The sequence below is a fragment of the Homo sapiens genome, chromosome 2 (assembly GCF_000001405.40).
Source record: "Homo sapiens chromosome 2, GRCh38.p14 Primary Assembly".
In the NCBI taxonomy this organism is placed as follows: Eukaryota; Metazoa; Chordata; class Mammalia; order Primates; family Hominidae; genus Homo; species Homo sapiens.
Genome location: NC_000002.12, coordinates 112,800,960 through 112,826,120, shown reverse-complemented (window position 1 = coordinate 112,826,120; position 25,161 = coordinate 112,800,960). Strand labels below are relative to the sequence as shown.

At 43.6% G+C, this 25,161-nt stretch overlaps 1 long non-coding RNA gene across 1 annotated transcript, besides 6 other annotated features; it reads left to right on the top strand.

The window, feature by feature from the left end:
- Window positions 1-1,641: 1,641 nt before the first annotated feature.
- Window positions 1,642-9,052, top strand: LOC124907871 (uncharacterized). The gene is made up of 2 exons (XR_007087195.1): window positions 1,642-1,860; window positions 6,681-9,052. It is a non-coding gene; the product is annotated as an uncharacterized LOC124907871 (long non-coding RNA).
- Window positions 7,755-8,049: an enhancer, noted in NCBI's record as "tiled region #10273; HepG2 Activating DNase matched - State 5:Enh". NCBI's record gives its function as "activates a minimal TATA promoter and a strong SV40 promoter by Sharpr-MPRA in HepG2 cells {active_cell/tissue: HepG2}" and the evidence as "EXISTENCE:reporter gene assay evidence [ECO:0000049][PMID:27701403]".
- Window positions 13,309-14,508: an enhancer, noted in NCBI's record as "P300/CBP strongly-dependent group 1 enhancer chr2:113569190-113570389 (GRCh37/hg19 assembly coordinates)". NCBI's record gives its function as "activates an origin of replication core promoter dependent on BRD2, BRD4, P300/CBP, MED14 and CDK7 cofactors, with strong dependence on P300/CBP, by STARR-seq in HCT116 cells {active_cell/tissue: HCT116}" and the evidence as "EXISTENCE:reporter gene assay evidence [ECO:0000049][PMID:35650434]".
- Window positions 20,121-20,621: an enhancer, noted in NCBI's record as "H3K27ac hESC enhancer chr2:113563077-113563577 (GRCh37/hg19 assembly coordinates)". NCBI's record gives its function as "activates a minimal SCP1, AML or CMV promoter by ChIP-STARR-seq in primed H9 embryonic stem cells {active_cell/tissue: H9 hESC(primed)}" and the evidence as "EXISTENCE:reporter gene assay evidence [ECO:0000049][PMID:30033119]".
- Window positions 20,134-20,473: an enhancer, noted in NCBI's record as "active region_16404". NCBI's record gives its function as "activates an Ori minimal core promoter by ATAC-STARR-seq in GM12878 lymphoblastoid cells {active_cell/tissue: GM12878}" and the evidence as "EXISTENCE:reporter gene assay evidence [ECO:0000049][PMID:35858748]".
- Window positions 20,704-20,813: an enhancer, noted in NCBI's record as "active region_16403". NCBI's record gives its function as "activates an Ori minimal core promoter by ATAC-STARR-seq in GM12878 lymphoblastoid cells {active_cell/tissue: GM12878}" and the evidence as "EXISTENCE:reporter gene assay evidence [ECO:0000049][PMID:35858748]".
- Window positions 22,211-22,270: an enhancer, noted in NCBI's record as "active region_16402". NCBI's record gives its function as "activates an Ori minimal core promoter by ATAC-STARR-seq in GM12878 lymphoblastoid cells {active_cell/tissue: GM12878}" and the evidence as "EXISTENCE:reporter gene assay evidence [ECO:0000049][PMID:35858748]".

Sequence of the window (25,161 nt, the reverse complement as noted above, 5' to 3'; positions counted from 1 at the left end):
TGTTGATAGAGGCAAGGTTAAATAAACAATGGTAAGTTAAAAAGAAAGGAGATGCTACTGAAATAGAAAGATAGCCAAGCAAATCATTGAGAGAAAAAGGCAAATTATGGAACAAGAACAGAGTGATAACATTTACGTAAAACAAAACACTGCACATCCTCAATGCAAAACCATGTGCTTCTAATGGTATATAGAGGTAGAGAGGTCTGGAAGGGTATTGGCAAGACTGATAATAGTGGTTACTTGGAGTGGAATAGGGCAGAGGAGCGAGTCATCAAGAGGAACTTTAGCTTTATTTATGACATTTGAATTTTTACCAAAAAAAAAAATTTGGTAAATGTGTTTAACAAATTTTGTTTTATTAGATTTTTGTTCTTATTTTTTCTAGTGTTTTGAGGGATCTCTTTAGATGTTAAGCAAATATATTCGTGAATGACTCGTATCATTTTTTTAATCCCCTGCATTAAAATGTTCAAAAGCCTTGGTTCCAATTCCTGGATCTGAGCCAAAGATCAAAATTGACCCTCCAGACCAGAACTGACCTTTCTATTACAGGTTTAGAGCCAAGTTCTCTCCCTGGGTAACAACTCCCTATTTCTCTGTACTATGTGCCCTTGGCCTGGACGAGGGAAATGGTCTACCACTAAATGGAAAGGGTCTGATAATTTGAGTGGAGAAAGCTGAGAATCCTCCCCACACCCAAGCAAGTACACAAATACAACTGGAAGAAGGCAGTCTTTCTGAAGGGCTGTGAAGTCAACTTCTCTGCACCTGCAGCAGGTAACACACCACACCTCCACAGCTGCTACCAGCTTTCCAGGAGAGCCTGTGTACCTGGAGAGGAGAAGGCAAGTGCTTCCGAACTTGACTTGATGTCTTAGATTCTGCAATGCGTAGTCTGTAGGGACAGGCTGTGGCTTATCCTATAGGCTTGGGCTGGAGTCAGCAAGCATCTGGGCTGGCAGAAGATAAAAGATGCAAAGGTGGAGGAAAGCATACGTGGTCTGGAAGACAGACTTGGTGGGTGGGTGGCTGCTACAACACCCTAGTTAGAGGTAGAGGGGTAAGTCAGTGTGTCTTCTGCACAGGCCTCTTCCCCACCTCATTCTTCATTTCCCATACAGCCTTGCTGAGTTATTCACAAACATCTGATTCAACTGGAAGCTGGGTTGAGGATGACCTAAAGGACTAGTGTGATGCCTGCCCAGGGGTGTGGGCCCATAGTCAGAGTCCAGAGCCTCCTCTCAGCTTTTAGCACATCTCACCCACATCCTGGGTCCTTAATTAGCAATATGAAAGCAAGCCAAGTGACAAGATTTTGTCCCTGGGAAGTCCAGAAGCACTCCTTTTCTCATTTGTATAAGCATAATGATTTGCTTACATAAATAATCATGAAAATTCAAATCCCTCTCAGAAATCAGGTCATAAAACCATGAAATGCAGCATGTGGGCAAGAATCACAGGGAAAGGTAGGTCTTGGAGAGGAAAGGATGGCAGGGAGGAAGAAAGCAGGGTGCCAGGGGCCCTGGGCTGCTGTCCAAGTCAGGTGGCTCACCGTCTCTGAGAACATTTCACTTTCTGGTAAATGGGGCAGTTGGAGATAGAAGGGTTGGGTGAATGCCAAGAGTGAGCACAGCTGAGGTCAGTGCTGTGCCTGCAGTCCAGGCGGGAGTAGAAATCCTGGGCCCATCTTACCTCCGACCTCATTTCCTCCTCTGTAATAATGTGGGGGTGGGGGAAAGTTCTGGTCATCAGCCCTAGCATTCCATGGTTCATTTCCTCATCAGTGATGGAAAATCACCAAGCAAGAGAACAGGATGGAGAATAACCGGATGGGTGCAATCGGAGGTGCTATTTCAGGTGAGGTGGCCAGGGAAGGCCCTCTGAAAGGGTGGCTTGAGCAGGTGGCTGAATGTACAGAAGCTGCCAATCATGAAAGATCTGGGGTACAGCATGCCAAGCAGAGGAAATGCGAGTGCAAAGGCCCCGAGATTGGATGTGGGCTTAGCACAAATGTGGCATGGCAAGAAGGCCAGTGTGGCTGAAGCAGCATGAACAATGGGTGGAGGGGCTGAGAGGACAGAGGAGCAGGAAAGAGCCAGGCTTGGGTAGGAGAGGTGTCAACTTGATATATGATGCAAAGCCCTTGGAGGTTCCCAAACACAAAAGCGATGATCTAATATATGGTTTTAAAAATGCCACTCTTGGCCGGGCGCGGTGGCTCACGCCTGTAATCCCAGCACTTTGGGAGGCCGAGGCGGGTGGATCATGAGGTCAGGAGATCGAGACCATCCTGGCTAACAAGGTGAAACCCCGTCTCTACTAAAAATACAAAAAATTAGCCGGGCGCGGTGGCGGGCGCCTGTAGTCCCAGCTACTCGGGAGGCTGAGGCAGGAGAATGGCGTGAACCCGGGAGGCGGAGCTTGCAGTGAGCCGAGATTGCGCCACTGCAGTCCGCAGTCCGGCCTGGGCGACAGAGCGAGACTCCGTCTCAAAAAAAAAAAAAAAAAAAATGCCACTCTTGCTGTGAAAAATTGACCCTGGGGGAAGGAGGAGTAGAAATGTCAAAAGTGGAAGCAGACCACTCAGGAGGTCAGGGCAATGGACTGTGCAGGAGAGACTGACATCTTAGACTCGGGCAATAGGAGAGAAGGTGGTGAGGATTATATTCTGGGCATAAAGGCAACAGAACTAGCTGATGGCGTCAACGTAGGAGATGAGGGAAAGAAAGAAATCAAAGGGCATTCATAGGTTTGAGGGTTGAGTAACTGGGGATATTTAACAGAAATGGAGAAGTCTGGGGAAGGGGCAAGTATTGTGGGGGCAGGGGTCAAAAGTTCTGTATTTTGGCCAAGTTAATTAATATTTGAGATACCTCTTAGGTGTCCAAGTGAAGATGTCAAACAGTCAATTGAATACAAAATCTGAATCTTAGCCCAGGATGGTCTCACACCTGTAATCCCAGCACTTTGGGAGGCTGAGGTGAGAGGATCACTTGAGGCCAGGAGTTTGTGATCAGCCTGGGCAATAGAGCAAGACCCTGTCTCCACACACACACACACACACAAAAAGTCATCCAGGCATGGTGGCACATGCCTGTAGTCCCAGGTACTCAGGAAGCTGAGGCAGGAGGATCACTTGAGCCCATGGTTCAAGGCTGCAGTGAGCTATAATCACATCACTCAATACTACACTCCAGCCTGGATGACAGAGAGAGACCTCATTTATTAAAATAAAATTTAAAAAAATTAATTAAAAATAAATGCAAATCTTTCCTGAGATTCATATTCAGGAGTAACTGTCATGTAGAAGGCATATAATGCCATGGGTCACATGATACCATCTAATGAATGCCACTGGAAAAGAGAGAATAGCTAAAAACTGAGCACTGGGCACACCAGCACAGTGAGGTTGGAAGGAAGAAATGGAGCTAACAAAGGAGACAAAAGAGGAGTAGCCAGTGAGAAGAGAGAAACATCTGGAGAGAAGAGAGAGCAGCAAAAGGTGGGTGAAGGAGAATGTGGTCCACCAGGCCCAACAATGCTGAGCAGTTGAGTAAGTGAGGACCTGGCCACTGAATTTGGCAAGAAAGAGGATGTCAGCGGCCCTAGAACAAAAGTGAAGAAGAGCTTGAGGACGGAAGCCTGACAGGAGTGAACTGAGGAGAGAATGAAAGGTGGAGACATGGAGCCAAGGAGCACTGAGACTCCCTTGAGTAGTTTTGCTGTAAAATAAAAGTGAGTGCAGAGACGGGGCAGGGGGACAGAGAAATGCAGGGGTAGCTGGAGGGAGCCACAGAATCAAAAGAGGGTTTTTGTGTTTAAGATGGTAGTTGTCACATAGCACATTAGTAAGTTCATGTGAATCACAACGTAGGTGAGACAGATCACTAATGCAGGAGTCAAATCCTTGCAGAGCCCCCAGAGGAGGTGATGAAGGGAAGTGATGGACATCATTCAGATGCAAGTAGGTTAGCAATTCCTGGGGTACAAATAGGAGGTGACTCCTTTCTGATTGCTCCTGTTTTCTGAATGAGATAGCACATAAAGTCCACTCAGCCATGTTAGCTGTTGAAGTCCTTGTGGCTGTCATGCCTGTACAGACTGGGCTCTCCTCTCCAGCATTTCCTCTCAGACTAAGCTGAGCTGCACTAGCCGCTGCCACATCCTCTTGGGGCCATCCTCTGCCACACTCCACATATTGCTGTGGTTTGCTTGCAACCCCTGGAAGGTCCTACTGGCTGCTCCTAGAAGAGTCTGGGCGGCATCTCTCCCTTACTCGTTATCACATGGTGCTGTAAGCAGTGGCCACACACTTTAGCTGGTGGGATGGGCCATCACAGGCAGTAAATGCGAAAGACTGCTCAGATTTTAAAGCACCCATGAATCAGTAGAATGAGTTTAGAATTGTAGTCATCAACACACATTAAAAAAAAAAAAAACAGGCACTAAAAAAATTAGTTGAGTAGGATAAAGCAATAAAAGATATTAACTACAAACCAGATAGGAGGTGCAAAATTGTACCTACATAAATCAGATGGAAAAAGTTGAAAGCAGATAAGATAAAATAGGTAAGCATGACATTTAAAAGGTATTCATGGGACGTGGTTACAAAACCAACTCACAACTAAAAAGTCTTAGGACCTCTCGCTGACTTAGGAGCCTGATCCCAACTCTGAGAATGACTCAGTGTGTTACCCTGTGGCTAGTGTAGACCAATGATCCTGTCTCAGAGTCACTAGCCAACAGCCCATATCAAGTACTTGAAACTTTGACTCAGAAACCTCAGTGTCAGAACCTTTGACCTAGGAACCACCTGTAGTGGTTAACTGCAATTTGCACCCCTTAGTTCAGGGCTTTACAACACCGGGGGCGGGGAGGGGGAAGGCATAGAGCTGATGACCTAAAGGAAACCCATTGCAGCAACGCTTTTGTGTTAAGTTTACAAATAAGTGTTGTTTTAGAATCCTCCAGGTAATGCCTTTGTTATTTAATGTGTCTGAGACAATTCTGCACATTAAAGAATATAAAATATTACCTTGTAATTCCAATTTGAAATGTGTAATTGACATTAGACTTCTATTTTAATTTGAAATGTCTAAAACAATGTGGTTAAGTTTGTAAAAGGTGTGTGAATTTTGAGTCTGATTTACTACATTTTTTTTTAATTTTCTTTTTTTTTGGAGTTTTAGGGATTGCTTAGATGGCTAGAAAGATTTTATTCATCAGATTTTTAAGTCTGCCTTGGCAGGCACTTGCAGTGTTTGAAAGAATCAGATATATCAAATTTGTAGTTTAAAATATTTAAGGGAACTCAATTAACTATGCTAGAAAAGAGAGTTAAGTATTTAGGAGGATTTAATATGGTGTTAAAGTTGTGAAAATCAAAATGGAGACACTAATGTTAAGAAAACCCTGATAAATGGAGCCAGGGAAGGCCATGAAGAAAGAGTTCTCACACTTGTATCCCTGATCATGAAAAAGACTCTGCAAAAAACAAAACCTTGCACAAAGGCCATTGCAACCTTACACAAAAAATACTACTTTAAAAGGACATGTGCCCAGCAACTGCCTGTCCAACCTCAGACTGGCAATATCTTTGTTATTGATCTTAGTAGCCCAGCATAACTATTTCAAAACAGTGATGTAATGCTCATTTTTTTTCTTTTGAAAACTTTTGTCTTCCTGTAAAAACCTTTGTCTTCTTTACTTACCCTGAATATGCACAGAGTTTACTATGAAGTGCATATTCCTGTTGCAATGCTCTATTCCCAAACAAACATCATTTTCTTTTAGAGAGCCTCTCTCTGTTTGTGATTTAGGTTGGTGATGTAAAGCAATGGCATAACTGAACACTGATTCAAAGAAAAGTGGCTTTTCTCTTTGTTGTATTAAAAAGAGGCCTTATAAATAGGATAGTAAGATTTGTAAGTTGAACTTAAAGCATGAAGAAAATTTAGGGGCCAGGCAGGGTGGCTCACACCTGTAATCCCAGCACTTTGGGAGGCCAAGACAGGAGGATTGCTTGAGCCCAGGAGTTCAAGACCAGTCTGGTCAACACAGACCTCATCTTTACTAAAAATAAAAAAATTAGGCCAGGTGCAGTGGCTCATGCCTGTAATCCCAGCACTTTGGGAGGCCAAGGCGGGAGGATCACTTGAGGTCAGGAGTTCGTGACCAGCCTGGTCAACACGATGAAACCCCATCTCTACTAAAAATACAAAAAAATTAGCTGGGTGTGGTGGCGGACACCTGCAATCCCAGCTACTCGGGAGGCTTCAGGCAGGGGAATCACTTGAACCTGGGAGGCGGAGATTGCAGTGAGCTGAGATAGTCCCACTGCACTCCAGCCTGGGCGACTCAGCAAGACTCTGCCTCAAAAAAAAAAAAAAAAATTAGTCAGGTGTGGTAGCACACAGCTGTGGTCCCAGCTACTCGGGAGGCTGAGGTGGGAGGATCATCTGAGCCCAGGAGGTCAAGGCTGCGGTGAGAGCTGAGATTGTACTACTGCATTCCAGCAGGGGCTACAAAGTGAGACCCTGTCTCAAAAAAAGAAAAAGAAAAAGAAAATTATGTTTTTAAATTTATAATTATAATAAATTTAATTACATAAATTTAAGCTCAAGTAATTGTAAATATTCTTTCTGTGCACATAAGTTATTCTTGTATTGACCCCACAGGAGCTGGCCATTCTTCAAGTCAGAAGGCCTGAGAGAGGAGCTGCCCAGGTGGTCTTCATGGGGCTGTGCGGCCAGTCATCCCCCACAGGTTGACAATCCTTGCGTACTTCATCCTTGTTGGATCCTCTGTATCCCTGACGATGAGCAACTGTGAGGCCCGTTTCAGCACTGAGTTCCAGTCAGGAAAACATCCACCCACCCACCACACGCTCACACTTACACACACATTCACACATGCACACACGTTCTGGCTCCGAAAAAGAAAAAAAAAAAGCAATTTAAAATAATTCTGATCCTTTGCTTATTTCCACAAACTCCATGAAAATTGTACATTGTCCAAGCAACATTTCTTAATATTCTCTTTTTCTCTCATATCCATTTTCCTTACTGCTGTCTCCACCTTTCTCTTCCAAACTCCCTGTTAAAATCCCTGCCCCAGCGAACTTTTATTCAATTTTGTGGAATGGAGGCTGCTCTGATTTAAATTAAAAAAAAAAAAAATCCCTACTCCATGTCCCAGATCCCTAGTTGTTTTTTGTTTTTTGTTTTCCTGAGACAGGGTCTTGTGTCTTCCATGCTGGAGTGCAGTGGCATGATCATGGCTCACTGCAGCCTCAACCTCCTGGGCTCAAGTAATTCTCTTGCCTCAGCCTCCCCAGTAGCTGGGAGTTCAGGTATGTGCTACCATGCCTAGCTAATTTTTTTCTTTTATTTTGTAGAGACACGGTCTTGCCAGGTTGCCCAGGCTGGTCTAGAACCCCTGGGCTTAAGTGATCCTCCTGCCTCGGCTTCCCAAAGTGCTGGGATTACAAGTGTGAGGCACTGCACCCAGGCTGGATCCCTGCATTTTTACAGATTTAGCATCACAAAAGTCTAAACAATTAGACTGACTAAGGCAGAACTGCCCTTATGACAGCAGACATAAGAAGGAAAAGGCCAAAACACTGTGTTAAAAATTATCCAAATGTGAGGAAAAGGCAAAGAGAGTAGGTGTGCCTTTTTAGTGTCTAAGCTGCCTGCCCAAGGGGCATCTGATGCTCTCAGGCAGGAGTCCACAAATTTTTTTTTGTAAAAGATCAGATAGTAAATCTTTTCAGCGTGAAGAGCATGAGGTCTCTGTCACAAATACTCAACCACCATTACAACATGAAAGCAGCCAACAGACAACACATGACAAATGAGTGTGGCTGTGTTCCAGTAAATCTTGATTACAAAAACAGGCAAGAGGCCAGAGCTGACCCATGGGCCATAGTTTGCTGACCCCTTCTGTAAAGGAAAGTATTTTTGTTTGACTTGCTGTTTACCATTGATTGAACACAAGGCTCTGTAGAGTTACTTGTTAACTTGCAGAAGATTGATGAGTGGCAAGTAATTTTTATTCACCAGAATATAAAATTATTTCTGTTCAGTAGAAAAGATAAACCCAACTGTTATATTATTGTCCTGTTTTGTATGTAACTTTGCTTCATTTTTTAACAAATTAATATTATTGCCCTAATTTGTATATAACTATGCTTCTTTTAAAAATATATATTTTTTAATAAATTTGAGACAGGGTCTCACTAGGTTGCCCAGGCTGGTCTTGAACTCCTGGCCTCAAGTGACTCTCCCACCTTAGCCTACTGCATAGCTGGGATTACAGGCACAAACCACTGCATGCAGCTAACTTTGCTTCTCATTCCAGCACTTTTTATTCCACTGATTATATGTATATGTATATCTGCATCATCTCTCTCTCTCTCTCTCTCTCTCTCTCTATATATATATATATGGAAATATCTCTCTCTCTCTATATATATATATGGAAATATATATCTCAGTCTCTCCTATCCTCCTTTAATCAGTTTTGCTATCCTGTCAATTCCCCCAACGAGTGTGATGTTGTGAAATATATATTTGTTCTTCATCTCCTGTTTCCTGACATACAGCTTTTAAAAACCCTTGGAATCTCTGGAATAATAAGAGTGTCTTTTGCATGCTAATAGATGACTGCTGGCTGGCAGCCCCAATGCAGTAGCTTCATGATGGGGTTTGTCACAGGAAAGACCAAGGCAGGATTGGAGACTTGAGACTGTTAGCCCCACTCCCCAACCACTGGAGGGAGTGGAGGGGCTGAAGGTTGTGTCAGTCACCAATGGCCAATGGTTCGGTCAATCATGTGTACGTAATAAAGCCACTCTTAAAAACCCAAAAAGGACAGGGTTTGGAAGGGCTCCCAGATAGCTGGACACATGAAGGTTCCTGGAGGGTGGTGCCCCAGAGGGGCATGGAAGCTCCACACCCCTTCTCACATGCTTTGCTCTGCGCATCTCTTCATCTGGTGTTCATCTGTATCCTTTGTAATATCTTTTAGAATAAACTGGTAAACTTAAGTGTTTTCCTGAGTTCTGTGAGCTGCTCTAGCAAATTCACGGAACCCGAGGGAAGCAAACCCAGATTTATAGCCATCAGTCAGAAGCATAGGTGACAACCTACCACTTGTAACTGGCACCTGAAGTGGGAGGCAGTCTTGTGAGACTGAGCCCTCAACCTGTGGGATCTAACGCTAACTCCAGGTAGATAGTGTTGGAGTGAATTAGGACACCCAACTGGTGTCGGCTGCTGGAGGACTAGTGGTGGGAGAAATCCCCAAGCATTTCGGTGACTAGAGGTCACAGAAGAACTCAGTGTTGAGGTGTTGTGACAGTATGGTAGGGAAAACTGCGTCTGGTTTTTTCCTTTTACAATCAGTTAAATATTTAACACAAGTCTACTGTATATTAGTAAAAGGGTTACATTTTTTAATGTCTTGACAGTTGCACTTTGACAACTTCCATATCAATCACTTTTTTTCCTGTCCCTTTGGAACCAAAATCACTTGGGTTACCCTGAACCAGGCTGCAGCCTATTCCCCAGGCCTTGAAAGCTTTGAGGCCCTTCTGCCAGCCCTAATCCCTCTGAATACCAGGCCTCCTGGAGTTAAAAAATAGACTTGAGGCCAGGCCTGGTGGCTCACACCTGTAAGCCCAGCACTTTGGGAGGCAGAGGCGGGTAGATCACAAGGTTAGGAGTTCGAGACCAGCCTGGCCAACATGGTGAAACCCCGTCTCTACTAAAAATACAAAAAAAAATTAGCCGGGCGTGATGGTACACGCCTGTAGTGCCAGCTACTCAGGAGGCTGAGGCAGGAGAATTACTTGAACCTGGGAGGCAGAGGTTGAAATGAGTCAAGATCGTGCCACTGCACTCCAGCCTGGGCGACAGAGTGAGACTCCGTCTTCAGGGGAGTTAAAAAAAAAAAAAAAAAAAAGACTTGAACAATGAGGCTCCACTGGATGGATTTAGGGGAATTACAGGAAGCAGGACCTGACGGTGCAATGCCACACTCCACCTGTCCAGACTTGGACCTCACCAAGGGAGGTCTGTGGGGACAGGGAGAGGCCCTCTGCCTCCACCCCCTCCTCTACTCCCCAAACCCTGAGTCAGGCTGAATGTAGTAAACCTGGAACAGAAAAGTTCAGTTTGGCAATAGGTATCTGAAGGACTCCAGGTGCTTCTCCCTTGATTCAAAATTTTACTTATAAAAAAAATTATAAGAAAATTCTACTTAAAAGAAATAATCAGGGAGGTACAACAAATTGTACTTTTTTTTTTTTTTTTTTTTTTTTGAGATGGAGTCTCACTGTTGCCCATGCTGGAGTACAGTAGTGTGATCTCGGCTCACTGCAACCTCCGCCTCCTAGGTTCAAGTGATTTTCCTACTTCAGCCTCCCAAGTAGCTGCGATTACAGGTGTGTGCCACCACACCCGGCTAATTTTTGTATTTTTGGTAGAGACGGGGTTTCACCATGTTAACCAAGATGGTCTCGAACTCCTGACCTCAGGTGACCCACCTGCCTCAGACTCCCAAAGTGTTGGGATTACAGGGGTGAGCCACTAAGCCCAGCCATTGTACATATTTTGTGGGTATTTACTAAAACATTATTCAAAATAGTAAAAAAAAATTGAAATAAACTGGGGACTGGTTAAATAATTTTGGGTACAACCACATGATGGAATACTATACAGCCATTAAAAATTACATTGAGGCCAGGTGTGGTGGCTCATGCTTGTAATCTTAGCACTTTGGGAGGCCAAAGTGGGAGGATTGCTTGGACCCAGGAGCTCAAGACCAGCTTGGGCAATGTGGCAAAACCCTGTCTCTAAAAAAAAAATACAAAAAAAATTAAAAAGCTGGGTGTGGAGGCACACACCTCTAGTCCCAGCTACTCAGAGGGCTAAGGTGGGAAGATCACTTGAGCCGGGGAGGTCAAGGCTGCAGTGACCCAAGATCGGGTCATTGCACTCCAGCCTGGGCAACAAAGCAAGACCCTGTCTCAAAAAAAAAAAAAATACATTGAAGAATATCTTACGGTATGGATAAATATTCATTTTACAGTGATAGATGCAAATAAAAGCAAATTACAAAATATACAGTTTAATTCCAACTTTGATACTACATATGTATATATGAATACATGCATATGTTATGTATGTATATGTAAATATAACAATATATGTTCTATATATGGATATTATATATTTACACATACATACACACATATATAATATCTTCTCTAGAGAGCAGAAAGAGAGTAGACAGATAATGAAGATAGGATACAACTCCAGTCCAGCTCAACCTAGGGGACTTGTTTTAAAGCCTCAGGAGAGAGAAGTTGGGACTAGAAAGCAAGGCAGCTATTTGTAAGCATCTTTGTGTTTCATGCTATTGGGGTGGGAAACAACAGCACAACTTTTGAAAGCCCCTTTCTACTCACCCCACAAACTGCAGAGCAGCTTTAGGACCCTCAGAGTTCAAGAAGACCATTTGCAGAGTAGAAGAAGTAAAAACATGTATGAACTTGACCCTGAGCTCATGGACTGTGCCATGAGGGAAATTCCTAAAACAGCAGGAGAGGCCCTGGAGGAAGGCAGAGGCCCTGCATCAGCAAGTCCAGGCAAAAGCCTGCATTCCATAGATGCTCATCTCTCTGGCTGGTGAGGTCTAAAGACGTTTGGTCTCAATATTAAGTCTCGTGAGAGAGGTCACAAACCCAGTCCCTTGGCCACAAAAGGAAATAAATTCTGGCTTGAGACATTAGGGAGGAACAGGGCAAGGGGAGGTTCAAGAAAGTTTTAATGGATGAGATGATATTTAAGCAAGGCCCTGGAAAATGAGAATTTCAACCAATAGCCATATGGTAGGTCAGAAAGCAAAGATAAGGAGGGGGCAAGTGCAAGGGGCAACATCAGATATGACCAGGGTGTCGTGGGGCATGGCTGATGGAGAAGAAGATTAGACTGGAGTTTGGGAATGCCACAGTATCGAGGTTGGATTTAATCCTATGGGTAATAAAGCCAACTGTTCAACCCCCAACCCACTTGCAATATGGCTCCAAAATAGCAGGTGTTTGATAAAATGACTACTTTTACTCTACTATTCCCTCCCTCTTAAGAAGAAAAAGAAAGTGGAGGCTCAGAGAAAGGCAGTGGCTTGTCCCAATCACACTATGATTTGGCCACAAAACAAGAACGAAATGTTACACCCAAAAATGCTGCCTCCACCTCCCTTCCTTGCTTTCCTCCCTGCTGGACTACAGACTATCTCAAGAGTGACGTACACCATCAGGGCTTCAGCTTTTCCCCGAAACAATGCCAAAATATTAGCCATACGTCACTGTAGTAAGAGCCCTGAATCGGGAATCCCAGCTTTGACGCAGACATGCTGATTGACTCTGTGACCATTCTCTTCACTTCTCCACTCTATTCTTCCCCACCTGTAAAGTGAGGTCCTTTCCAGTTATAAAAACAGATGATGCTATTGTCCTGTTTTGTATCTAATCTTGCTGTGTTATAAAAAAAATAAGGCTCTGTACATTCATCTTGGCCAATTCCCTTCTTATCTCTACTTCCCACAGCCCCTTTTTGTACAGAAAACCAGCATTGTTCTTCTGGATCCATCTCTTAAGAAAGCGCTTTGCCTCCCCGGTTATTTAGGTGATAAGAAGTGTCCTAGATGACAGCCCTGGAATGGGCTGGAGGCAACAAAAAAGCAAGTGAAATAGACAGTTACAGCGACGACAATAATAACAACCAACACCTCTCACTAAAGAGAAAGAAATAAAAAAGAAAATTAAAATCTGCCGCAATGCCCACACAGTCATTGAATAGCTGCATGTGTACAGCACTTGGTTACTTTTACATACTTCATATTTTAGCCTTCAGAGCAGCTCACAGGGGTGGATTTAATTTTTAGTCCAGCTCCTGGCACGGTGCCTGGCACAAGTTTAATAAATGTTCTGTGAATAAATGACCCTCTTTTTAGATGAGGAAATCGAGGCTCAAGGAGAACAAGCAATGTAATGTCCCCCTCCTGTTCAGCCATCTGCCTTTCACGCCACTGAATGCAGTAGTCCTCCGTGCCCTGAACTTGACCCTCTTCTGCTTTTCGGACTGGTCCTTCTAATCCCGTTGTGACTCACTACACCACCTCTCCTGCATATGACGTCTACATTTTAAAACAAACCGTATGGAAATAACACATTAGTCGGCTTGCTCCCCCACCCCCGCAAAAAAAAAGGCCTCTTTATAACAGAAACTTCTCAGGCTGGTAGGGGAATTTTATTCCCCCATTTATGGTAGAAAGGCCCTAACCTTGGACCTCACGCCATAGCTATTCACATGGGGGAATGATGAATAACATGGGAAGCAGCATGTAACTCTCCTGGGCCCTAGTACAGACGAGTTACTCCCAGGCCGTCCTTTAACCATCAACCCCCTCCACAGAAAATGAGCTTTGGAATGTCTGCCCCAAATTGGGGTAGGGCTCCCCAGAACCATGGACATTCCTCATCTACTCCTTGGAAGTGGCAGGTCGGGTTTAGCACACAGTCTATAGAAAGTCTACACACATGGCAGTCATCTCTATCTATTGTGACAAATGGCTGGAACTCAAGCATACAATATACCCACTGGTTCTTCTTTTTTGACAGTGACATCAGGAACATTTGCATCTTCCATCCCAGGGAAAGGTAAAGAGAGTCAGGCCTTTAAACACAAAATTGATGGAGGCTCAGGTCTAATGAATTATTTCACTCATAGCTATTTTATTTTTCCTGCCAATAAAAATACTTAGAGACTGAGTTGGCAAATGAGAGCCTGAGACACGTGCGGGGAAATTCTGGTTCTGCTGCTGCTACTGCTACTGCTACTGCTACTGCTACTGCTACTGCTACTGCTACTGACTAATCACTCGGAATTCACTTTGTCTCCACCAGAACTCTGCCCCTACTTCCTTGGGAATTCCCCAGCACAGGAAGTTTGCAATTGCTTGATACCTTGCTGTTTCTAAGACCGGAAATGGAATATTTGTGGAACTTCCTTTGCCAGAGGAAATGGTGACCTTTAAACTTTCATTGAAAGAGAAGGAAGTGGGTGCGATACTACGGTTCCCTCTGTCAGTACTGTCTAGCAAGGCTAAGAATGATCCTTGGAGTGACCTCAGCAGAGTCCCTGAGAGACAGCTGGGCAGTAGCTCTACGGGTGTCCTGGGCCTAAGCCCCATCTGCCCTCCTCCCAACCCACCTTCCACTCTCAAGAGGCCTTGGATTCTATTTTCTAAGACCAGGAATGAAAAAGACTCAACAAGAACCTCACAGTCCCTACCTGAGCCTGCTTCCCAAGCCTGTCCTAGGGCTGTCCTTCCAACCCCCAGCCCATCAGCCTTGTGGCCTCCCTGTGTGTGGAAGGCACTTTCTTCCTGGCCACCAAAAACAGGTCCTCCCCGGACTTCAGGCTGCTCCTCATCAGCTGATGCCCTCCAGGTTCACACCTCCCAAAGTTCTCTTCCTGGCTCCAGGCCCTGGAATCCCCGTATTCAGCAATTCATCTTTGACTCCCTTCCTCTTTCCCCTCCCTTCTCTTCCCTGCCAGGAAGGCCCATTCCTGAGTGATGCCAGACATATCCCCATTTACCTCCACACCATCCTGCATTGAGTGGGAGCATCTCTTTTATCTCTGCAAGACCTCTCCATTACCCACGGGCTGGCAAGCTCTCCTCCTAAGAAGTTTCCCAAAGCAGATGCTTTATAGAAGCAGGAAAGGAGAAAAGGAAGAAGAAAGGGAGGGGAAGCTACTTTTTTACTGAATGCCACATGTAAACAATATATTGGGTCATCTGAACTTACCGAAGTACAAACCAGAAATGGCATTATTTTTTTCCAGTAACTGCCTTCAAACGTACTCTATCAGACCCCCCTGACATCTCAGGTCACTGCAGAACTTTCTGTTAAATAACTTGCATATATGAACAGTCTCAGAGGCCAAAAAAAAAAATAACAGCTATGCACTCTTGCACCTAATTCTGTACTTTTCGCCAAACGCCATTAAAATATTATAACATTAAAGGGATATTTAAATTCACGAATCCACAAGGATGGGGAAAACAAATGAGAAGACAGCAAGAGTGAGGGAGAAGGGGATACATTTCTTTGATCAATCAGGCAATTCCCTGGCATTCACATCACCGAGTTCATATTTGCAGTAGCAATTCAAGAGTTCTGAGCCTCACACAGGAGTATCTTTAAGAAAAAAAGAAAAAAATTTTTGGAAGGCTGGAAAGCAGTTGGGCAAATGGTAGCTGATCCTAAGGACCAATCGACATCTAGTACCTTTGGGAGTGGGATCACAGAGATGGTAAAATAAAAAAAGATTGCATGAAAGCTGGTTAAGAAATAGAAACACTTGGGCCGGGCACGGTGGCTCACGCCTGTAATCCCAGCACTTAGGGAGGCCGAAGCGGGCAGATCACGAGGTCAGGAGATCGAGACCATCCTGGCTAACATGGTGAAACCCCGTCTCTACCAAAAATACAAAAAAAATTAGCCAGGTGTGGTGGCGGGCGCCTGTAGTCCCAGCTACTCAGGAGGCTGAGGCAGGAGAATTGCTTGAACCCGGGAGGTGGAGCTTGCGGTGAGCCGAGATCGCACCACTGCACTCCAGCCTGGGCAACAGACAGAGCGAGACTCCGTCTCAAAAAAAAAAAAAAAAGAAAAAAGAAAGAAAGAAATAGAAACACTCCCCCACTCCGCAAAAAAATACATTCTGTATGTTTCCATTTATACAAAACTCTAGAAAATGTAAACTAGGCCAGGAGTCATGACTCATGCCTGTAATCCCAACAATTTGGGAGGCCAAGGAGGGAGGGCTGCTTGAGGCGAGGAGTTCGAGACCAGCCTGAGAAACATAACAAGACCCCATTTTTATTTAAAAAATTTTTTAAGCCAGTTGTGGTGGTGTACCCCTGTAGTCCCAGGTACTCAGGAGGCTGAAGTGGGAGGACCACTTGAAACTAGGAGTTCAAGGCTGCAATGAGCTATGATCGCACCACTGCACTCCATCCTGGGCAACAGAGTGAGACCTTGTCTCAAAAAAAAAAAAAACCCACAAAATGTAAACTAATCTATAGTGACAGAAAACAGGTGGTTGTTTGCTTGGCAATGAAGGAAGGGAGGAGAAGGAATTAAGAAGAAGCTTGAGGTAACTTAGGAGGTATATTAGTTCCTTGTCACACTGCTATAAAGAGCCACCTGAGACTGGGTAATTTATGAAGAAAAGAGATTTAACTGACTCACAGTTCTGCAAGCTGTACAGGAGGCATGGTTAGGGAGGACTCAGGAAACACATCATGGCAGAAGGGCAAAGAAGAGGCAAGCACATCCTCACATGGCAGCAGGAAAGAGAGTGAGTGAAGGGGAGCTCATGAGAGCTCATTCACTATCTCAAGAACAGCAAGGGGGAAGTGCACCCCCACAATTCAATCACCTCCCACAAAGCCCCTCCCCCAGCATTGGGGATTACAATTCAACATGAGACTTAGGTGGGGACACAGAGCTAAACTGTATCAGGAGGTGATAAATATATTCACTATCTTGATTGTGGTGATGTTTTCACAGGGTTATATCAAAGTATAAGTTGCACAATTTAAATATGTGCTCTGTTTATTGTATGTCTATTTTACAACAATAAAGCTGTTCCTTAAATTTCTTTTTTGAGACAGGGTTTTGCTCTGTCACCCAGGCTGGGGTAGAGTGGTGTAATCACAGCTCACTGCAGCCTTGACCTCCTGGGCTCAATAAAGCTATTCTTTTAAAATGCTGGCAGAGCTGTGAGAAAATTCTTATTTGTTGCTAGTTGATTCAGTCTTTTTGGAGGACAGCATGACAATTATTTAACTTCTGAATAATCATAAAATGATATTAATGGGGGAAAAATAAATGGTTAGATTTTCAGGTCATCTTTCCCATACTAGCAGAAGACAGAGAGTTAAGGTAGGAGATTACTAAAAACAAGATGATCATTGAAAGGATTCAGCATGATGTTGAATACTCCAGCCCTTCTCCCTCACATTACACACAGAAGGCTGGTAGCCAGGCCTTTATCCTCCAGGCAGGAGATCAAAAGAGCCTTTCCCAGGGAATCAGGCCTATACTAATAGTAGGGGTCCCAAACCCATTGGCCTTGCCAGGACATCAAGCAATGACACTCACAGCCAACAAGCCTCACCCATGTATTCAGAGTTTCCAATCAGCTTTCCAGTTGCCCACTCTCAAAAATCTAGTATTACTAAACGTCTGCAGAAAGTTTCTAGCAAGATAGAGATCAAAATAAAACAACCCAAAAAAGCAGAAAGGGGAAAAAAGACTTGGTAAAGAGAAGAAAACTTTTAAAAAATGTCAGATTCAGTGGCTCACACCTGTAATCCCAACACTTTGGGAGGCTGAGGCAGGAGGATTACTTAAGCCCAGGAGTTCAAGACCATACTGGGCAACATAGCAAGACCTCGTCTTTATTAACAATTTAAAAATTAGTGGCCGGGTGCAGTGGCTCACGCCTGTAATCCCAGCACTTTGGGAGGCCAAGGTGGGCAGATCACAAGGTCAGGAGTTCAAGACCAGCCTGGCCAACATGGTGAAACCCTGTCTCTACAAAAATACAAAAATTAGCTGGGCATGGTAGTGTGTTTCTGTAATCCCAGCTACTCAGGAGGCTGAGGCAGGAGAATTGCTTGAACCAGGACCCAGGAGGCAGAGGTTGCTGTGAGCCCAGATTGCACCACTGCACTCCAGACCGGGCTACAGAGTGAGACTCCACCTCAAAAACAAAAAAATTAGCTGGGTATGGTGACACATGCCTGTGGTTCCAGCTACTTGGGAGGCTGAAGCAGGAGGATAGCTTGAGCTCAGAGATCAAGGCTGCAGTGATCCATGATCACACCACTGCACTCCAGCCTGAGTGACAGAGTAAGACACTGTTTTGAAAATAAAAATAAATAAAAATTTAAAAACTATTATTAATATCTCCAGAGTAATAAGATAGTAGAACTGTCAATTGAAGACAAAATACTATGGGGGAAAATGTGAGGAAGAGAGAGGTGTATTCAAAGTAAAAAATATATAGTAAAAGAAATGAAATTCAATAAAAGAGTTGGGAGATAAGGTTAAGCAGGTCTCTCGGAAAGTAAAGCAAAAGGATAAAGACTTAGAAAATGAAGTAAAGTCAATAGGAATATTAGAGGACAGATCTAAGAGACTCGGGGCTGAAAACAGACCAGAGAAAGACACAAGAAAAAGGAAGTAATAAAGTTTGTAGAACTTGAAGAACACATGTTTTTCCCGATTAAATGGCCCACTGAGTGTCTACCATAATGAATGAAGAAAGACCTACGTCATGAAATTTCAGAACACTGTAGATAAAGAGGCAATCCTACAACACTCCAGACAGAAAACAACAATCACATGGAAAAAATCAGGCATTTGAATGGTGTCAGACTTCTCAGCAGCAATATTGGAAGCCAGAAGAAAATGGAGCAATGTCTTATAAATCAGGAAGGAAAATTAATTAGAATTCTGTACCCAGCTGAACTATCTACCAAATGTCAGGATAGGATAAATATATTGTCAGATATGCAAGTTTCTAAAGAAAATTTTTCTCCCTACACATCTTTTCCCAAGAGGCCACTGAAGGGAATGCAGCAAAAAAAAAAAAAAAATACTCAAGAAACAAGAAGAAAGATCCAAGACTGGAATGAGGTGAAGGCAATCCTGATGGTGAAGGGAGATCCCAGGATGAAAGCAGGCACAGCAACAAGGAGCCACCAGTCCAACTTGGAGCAGGTCAGAGAGCGCTAGGAATTTTTTTTTCCTAAGATAAAAAGAAACTGCCTAATACATCTGAATGTCTTAAGAGGAGATTTAAATAATTCGTGAAAAGTTTAAAGTGAAATTAATGATAATCAGAGGTGGATTTACTGTAAAGTTAATCAAATTTAAATTTCAGAACACTTAATCTGCAAGAGTCCTTTCCAAGACCCTATACCTAATTTTGTGTTTACAATTTTATATTTGTTTTCTTAAAGAAGACCACCAATATAAACTATATCCAGCCTTCATGATAAGTACATAGGAAACTATGCAAATAAGGGGGAAAAAAAACAAAGAAAAATACCTAGTTTACTAATGGTTCACTTCTGAATAGCACATATTCATAATGATACAAGCACTCATTACTAGTCTAAGAAAATGAAGATATAATTGCATTAGGAAGATCAAGAGGTAGGAAATGTGGATGTGTGTGGTATAGACTAGGGCAGGACAAAGAACCTAAATCCTCATTTTCTAAAGATAATTGTTAATACGTAAAACTCAAAATTCAAGAAGTAACAGTAAAAGCGGTCATTAAGAAACAAGCACTAAACACCAGATAGGAAGCGAGAGATGGGGGAAGAGGGCAAGAATCTGATTATTTTTTGCAACAAATTTTGTAAAACCATTTGACTGTTTACATGTAGAACTTGGATCTTTTTTAAAAAACACAAAATAATAATACTATTATTTTTTAACTGGATTTTTGAAAAAGAAGATAAAAGTCTCATTTTAGTAATTAAAACTCATTCCAGGTTAGTCCACTCAAAACTTATATTCGAAAATTAAAACTTTGGGAGGCTGAGGCAGGCAGATCACCTGAGGTTGGGAGTTCGAGACCAGCCTGACCAACACGGAGAAACCCCGTCTCTACTAAAAATACAAAATTAGCTGGGCGTTGTGCATGCCTGTAATCCCAGCTACTCGGGAGGCTGAGGCAGGAGAATTGCTTGAACCCGGGAGGCAGAGGTTGCAGTGAGCCGAGATCACACCATTGCACTCCAGCCTGGGCAACAAGAGTGAAACTCCATCTCAAAAAAAAAAAAAAAAAAAAAATTAAAACCTCTGGAAGTTGAGTTTGCAGATATTCATTATGCTCATTTTTAACTTGTATGTTTGGAAAATGTCATGATGAGAATTGAGGTTGGGGGATGAGAAAAAAAGAAAAACATCAACCCCACAGCCCATTCAATTTTCAGCCCGACCCACAGCTCCGGGGAAGGGCAGCAGGTCCATCCTTCACTCTTTCTTCACCTCTTTCCCCTCCTTCTGGCTCTTCCACCTCTAAGTTGGAGCCCAAGAAGAGGCACTGGGAAATGGAAAAGTCTTTTGTACGTGGTACTTGCCGGGGAAGCTGCCATGAAGACCTGGCCCCACGGTGGGGAGGGAATGCCCAGCTGAGGCCTCGTGCCCATGCTAGGATAGACTCGTCCAGACATGTCAGGTGGTCTGACAGGGCAAGCAGCAGGAAGTCATGTATGAGTATGAACTGATCTGTATGCAAGGGCGGGGAGAACACGCGGAGGAATGGGGCGTGAGAAAACAGCACAGTACGTTTCTTTAGCAGCTGTCTCTGCTCAGCCATGGGAGGTCACAGAGAAAGAGGCTTGGAGGCGTTATTTTCACTGTGAGATGTGAGTGTAAAAAAGTGCCCAAGACACAGTGAGTACCAGGGAGATGCCCTCTTTCCTACCCGAATGCAGAATGGCCACAGGCCTTAAAACACACACATGGGTCCTCAGAGGAGAGAGGCCTCCACAGTGGACACCCGCATTCTCCCCTGGTCAGCAGCAGCAGGGCGAGTGCTGGGCCATCATGAAGCTTCACAGGCAATGAGCTCTCAGCAATAACAGGAACAGTGCCTGGGGGACTGTAGCTGCAAGACCGATTTTCATGTAAGATGGCCTCTGAGGACTCCGAGATACACCAGGCTGAGACTAGCTGGCAGCTCCAAGTTCTTGGTCAGAAGAGAACAGGAACTAGGGAAATTGGAATTACTGTTACTACAATTCCTTTACATCCGCACAACCATGAGGTCCAGAGAGTCTCTCTTATTTTTTTTTTAAAGACAGGGTCTCACTCTGTCGCCCAGCCTAGAGTGCACTGGTGTGATCATGGTTCAGTACAGTCTTCACCTCCCAGGCTCAAGTGACCCTCCTGCCTCAGCCTCTCAAGTGGCTGGGACAGCAGTTGCATGCTACCAGGCCTGGCTTTTTTTTTTTTTTTTTTTTTTTTTTTTTTTTTTCGGTAGAGACTGGGTCTCTCTGTATTGCCCAGGCTAGTCTCGAACTCCTGGGCTCAAGTGATCCTCTGGCCTCAGCCTCCCAAAGTGTTGGAATTACAGGCATGAGACACTGCACCCAGCCAGTATAGTCTTTTAACAGCTTTATTGAGGTACGGCTAACATTGAAAAAACTACACAAATGTAAAGTATGCAATTTGATAATTTTGACAAATGTACACACCAGTGAAACTATCACTACAGTCAAAATAATGAACATATCCATCACTCCCAATTTCCTCACGCCCCTTGGTAACCCCTCTCTCCCAACTCCCTGCCCCCTAACATCAGACAACTACTGATGCATTCTGTCTCCATAGGCTCATTTACATTTTCTAGAATTTTACATAAATAAAATGACAGAGTATATACTCCTTCATGTATGGCTTCTTTCAGCCCAATTATGTCAAGATTCATGCTTATGGCTGTGCGTATCCTTAGCCCATCTCTTTGTCTTGCTGAGTAGGATACCATTGCATAGACAGACCACAGCTTGCTCATCCATTCACTCTTGACAACGTTGAATTGTCTCTGTTTTTTGCAATGACAAATAAGGTTGCTATGTACATTCCTGTATAGACATTTGTAAAAGCACAGCATTTCATTTCTCTTGGGTAAAGACCTAGAAGTGGAAGGGCTGAGTCATATGGTAAATATATATGTCTAACTTTTTAAGAAACCGTCAAACTGTTACCCAAAGGGATTGTACCATTTTACATCCCCACCAGCAGTGTATGAAAGTTCCCGTTCTTCCACATCCTCACCAATATTTGGTGTGGTCAGTCTTTTTAATTTTGGACATGCTAATGAGTGCAAAATGAGGCCCAGAGTGTCTGAAGTTACATTTGTATCCTTTTTGGCATCCAAAACAGGTGTCAAGCATAGAAAAAACACTTGTTCCTTGAATGGTCAGTCATTTACAAGTGGAATTCATTACAAACCGGTAGTTCTACTGGGTTAAACTATGCCTTACTGTCAACAGGCACATACACATACAGACAGACAGGAAGGCACAGAGACAAGGCAGAGCATTGATAAGAAGGTGACCTGGGCTCTAGCTCTGGCCTATCACCTAGTAAAATATTAGTTAAGTAGCCATGAGTAACTCACTTAACTTACCACAGGCTCCATTTTCTTATCTGTAAAATAGGAACATTGAAACAGCTAATCCCCAAGGTTTGTGGATAATCAGAATTACAAAGATCAATGACATTTCTATGAGAGAAACATATTTCCAAGTATTTGATGGAGTACATCAGACACAAAGGAAAGGAAACTGAATATTTTTGAGGTTTTTTTTTTTTACCAAGAAATTCACATTTTGTTAAATTTTCAGAACTACCTCCTGAGGAAAGTGTAGCTGCACCCATTTAGAATGATAGAAAACATCAATCTGTCTGATTCCAAAGCCAAGTTCTTGCTACAACGAGAAATGAAACAACTGGATCCCTACAGATGCAGAGACCTGGGCCCCACAAATGTGAATTCTGTTCCCCTACCGAATAGAGTTACAGTTCCATAATACAGTACTCCCTCACTTTTCCACAGTCTCACATTCCACAGTTTCAGTTACCCACAGTCAACTGCAATCCAAAAATATTAATGAAAAATTCCAAAAATAAACAATTCAGAAGTTTTAAATTGTGCTCCATTCTGAGTAGCGTGATAAAATCTTGTGCCACCATCCCACCTGTCCAGCTTATCGTTAGTCATTGACATCGTCTGCTCCTGACATCCAACCATTGACATCATCATGACTCTATGATCCAGGATCACCGAAGCAGATGACCCTCCTTCTGACATATCATCAGGCCAATATCAGCCTAAACACTGCATCACTATGCCCACATCAGTCACCTCACTTCATCTCATCAAGGAGGCAATGGATCACCTCACATCATCACAAGAAGAAGAGTGGGTATAGAACAATAAGATAATTTTGGGGCAGGCATGGTGGCTCACGCTTGTAATCCCAATACTTTGGGAGGCCAAGGCAGGAGGATCCCTTGGGCCCAGGCATTCAAAACCAGCCTGGGAAACATAGTGAGACCTCCTCTCTCTGCAAAAAAAAATAAACAAAATTATCCAGATACAGTGGTGCATGCCTGTGGTCCCAGCTACTCAGGAGGCTAAAGTGGGAGGATCACTTGGTCCCAGGAGGTCGAGGCAGCAGTAAGCTGTGATCGTGCCACTGCACTCCAGCCTGGGCAATAAAGTGAGACCCTGTCTCAAAAAAAAAAGGTAATTTTGAGAAAGAGACCACATTCATACAACTTTTATTATAGTATATTGTTAGAATTGTTCTATTTCATTACTTATTGTTGTTAATTTCTTTCTTTGCCTAATTTTTTTTTTTTTTTGAGTCGGAGTTTCACTCTTGTTGCCCAGGCTGTAGTGCAATGAGACGATCTCAGCTCACCGCAAATCCCGCCTCCCGGGTTCAAGTGATTCTCCTGCCTCAGCCTCCCGAGTAGCTGGGATTACAGGCGCCTGCCACCATGCCCAGCTAATTTTGTATTTTTAGTAGAGGCGGGGTTTCTCCATGTTGGTCAGGCTGGTCTCGAACTCCTGACCTCAGGTGAGGCCTCAGCCTCCTAAAGTGCTGGGATTACAGGCTTGAGCCACTGCGCCTGGCCTCTTTGCCTAATTTATAAATTAAACATTGTCACAGGCATGTATTAATTTATAGGAAAATCATAGACATATAGAGTTGGGTACTATCCACAGTTTCAGGCATTCACTGAGGGGCTTGGAACATGCCCTCCTCAGATGAGGGGGGACTACTGTCATCTCCTCAATCATTCTTGATTCAATCCTCAACACAAATGGTTTGGCCAGGTCTTGCCTCTGGAGACAAAATTGCTAAGGATTTAGAGGGGAAAAAATGTAGTTCACTGGGAAAGTCACCTCTGCTCCACTGGACAGCAACTTAAAACCCAGGCCATGACAAGTAGAAAGGCCACCCCCACTCTCCTTCACACCTGGAGTATTCAGGAGTCAATCATATTTCAGGACCACCAGGAGCAAACTGGGAAAAACTGAGCTGCCTTGAGGAAAGCAATCAGCTCCACAAGGGGCTTAAGAAACAAGCTCTGGGAGGAGTGGTTGGAGAAGAGTTGGGGACACATCAGAAATGCCATCAAATTTCTAAGGGCTACCTCGTGGTGTCAGACCTGTGCATCTTCAAGGACATAAACAGATGGGATAAGCAGATGAGACTCACAGAGGACATCAAAATATTGGCTCCCCAGAAGGGAGAACATTCTAGTAACAGAGCTGCCCAGCTGCAGAGTGGACTGTTTCACAAAGCAACAGGTGCCCTGCCTCTTGAATCACCATCTTCACAGGAATGCAGTAGAAGGGACTTAACTCCTGCCCTGAAGAAAAGGTTAGGCTAGGGAAACAGCTCCAAAATTTTTTAAAAGGAAGCAACATAGGCATCTACTGGGAGTTTTCTAAAGCCTTTGTTTAATGAAACTAAAGAGCTGGGACAGGAAATGCCAAATTAAATTAATAGAGCCTTGCTTTAAGACAATGCAAGTGGATGGTAATGAAGGAATGAGTCCTAGGCCCTGGATCAACCGTATTAAGCAATGCTGAGCATAGAGCCAATTCTGTTCACTAGATTTGCTTAGAAAGGGCCAGACGAGAAGGACTTTTCTAAAGGCACCTACTACCAAAAAGCTGCCAAGGCGTCCAATGGAGCCCAGAGAGAATATGCTAACAATAAAAAGTTGAACACCCTCAATAAAAAAGGGTAAAAGTAATTAATAGAAAATTACTGAAAGCTTTTTTGAAACCAAAAGTAGTCAGCATTGGTAAAAGTCTACAAAAGTGGACACTTTTATATAATGTTGGCAGGAGGGTAAAAAGACATAACCTTTTTGGAGGACAATTTGGCAATAGAGTACCAAAAACCTTACAACTGAAGAGAACTTTGGCCTGAGTGCAGTGGCTCACACCTGTAATGCCAACACTTTGG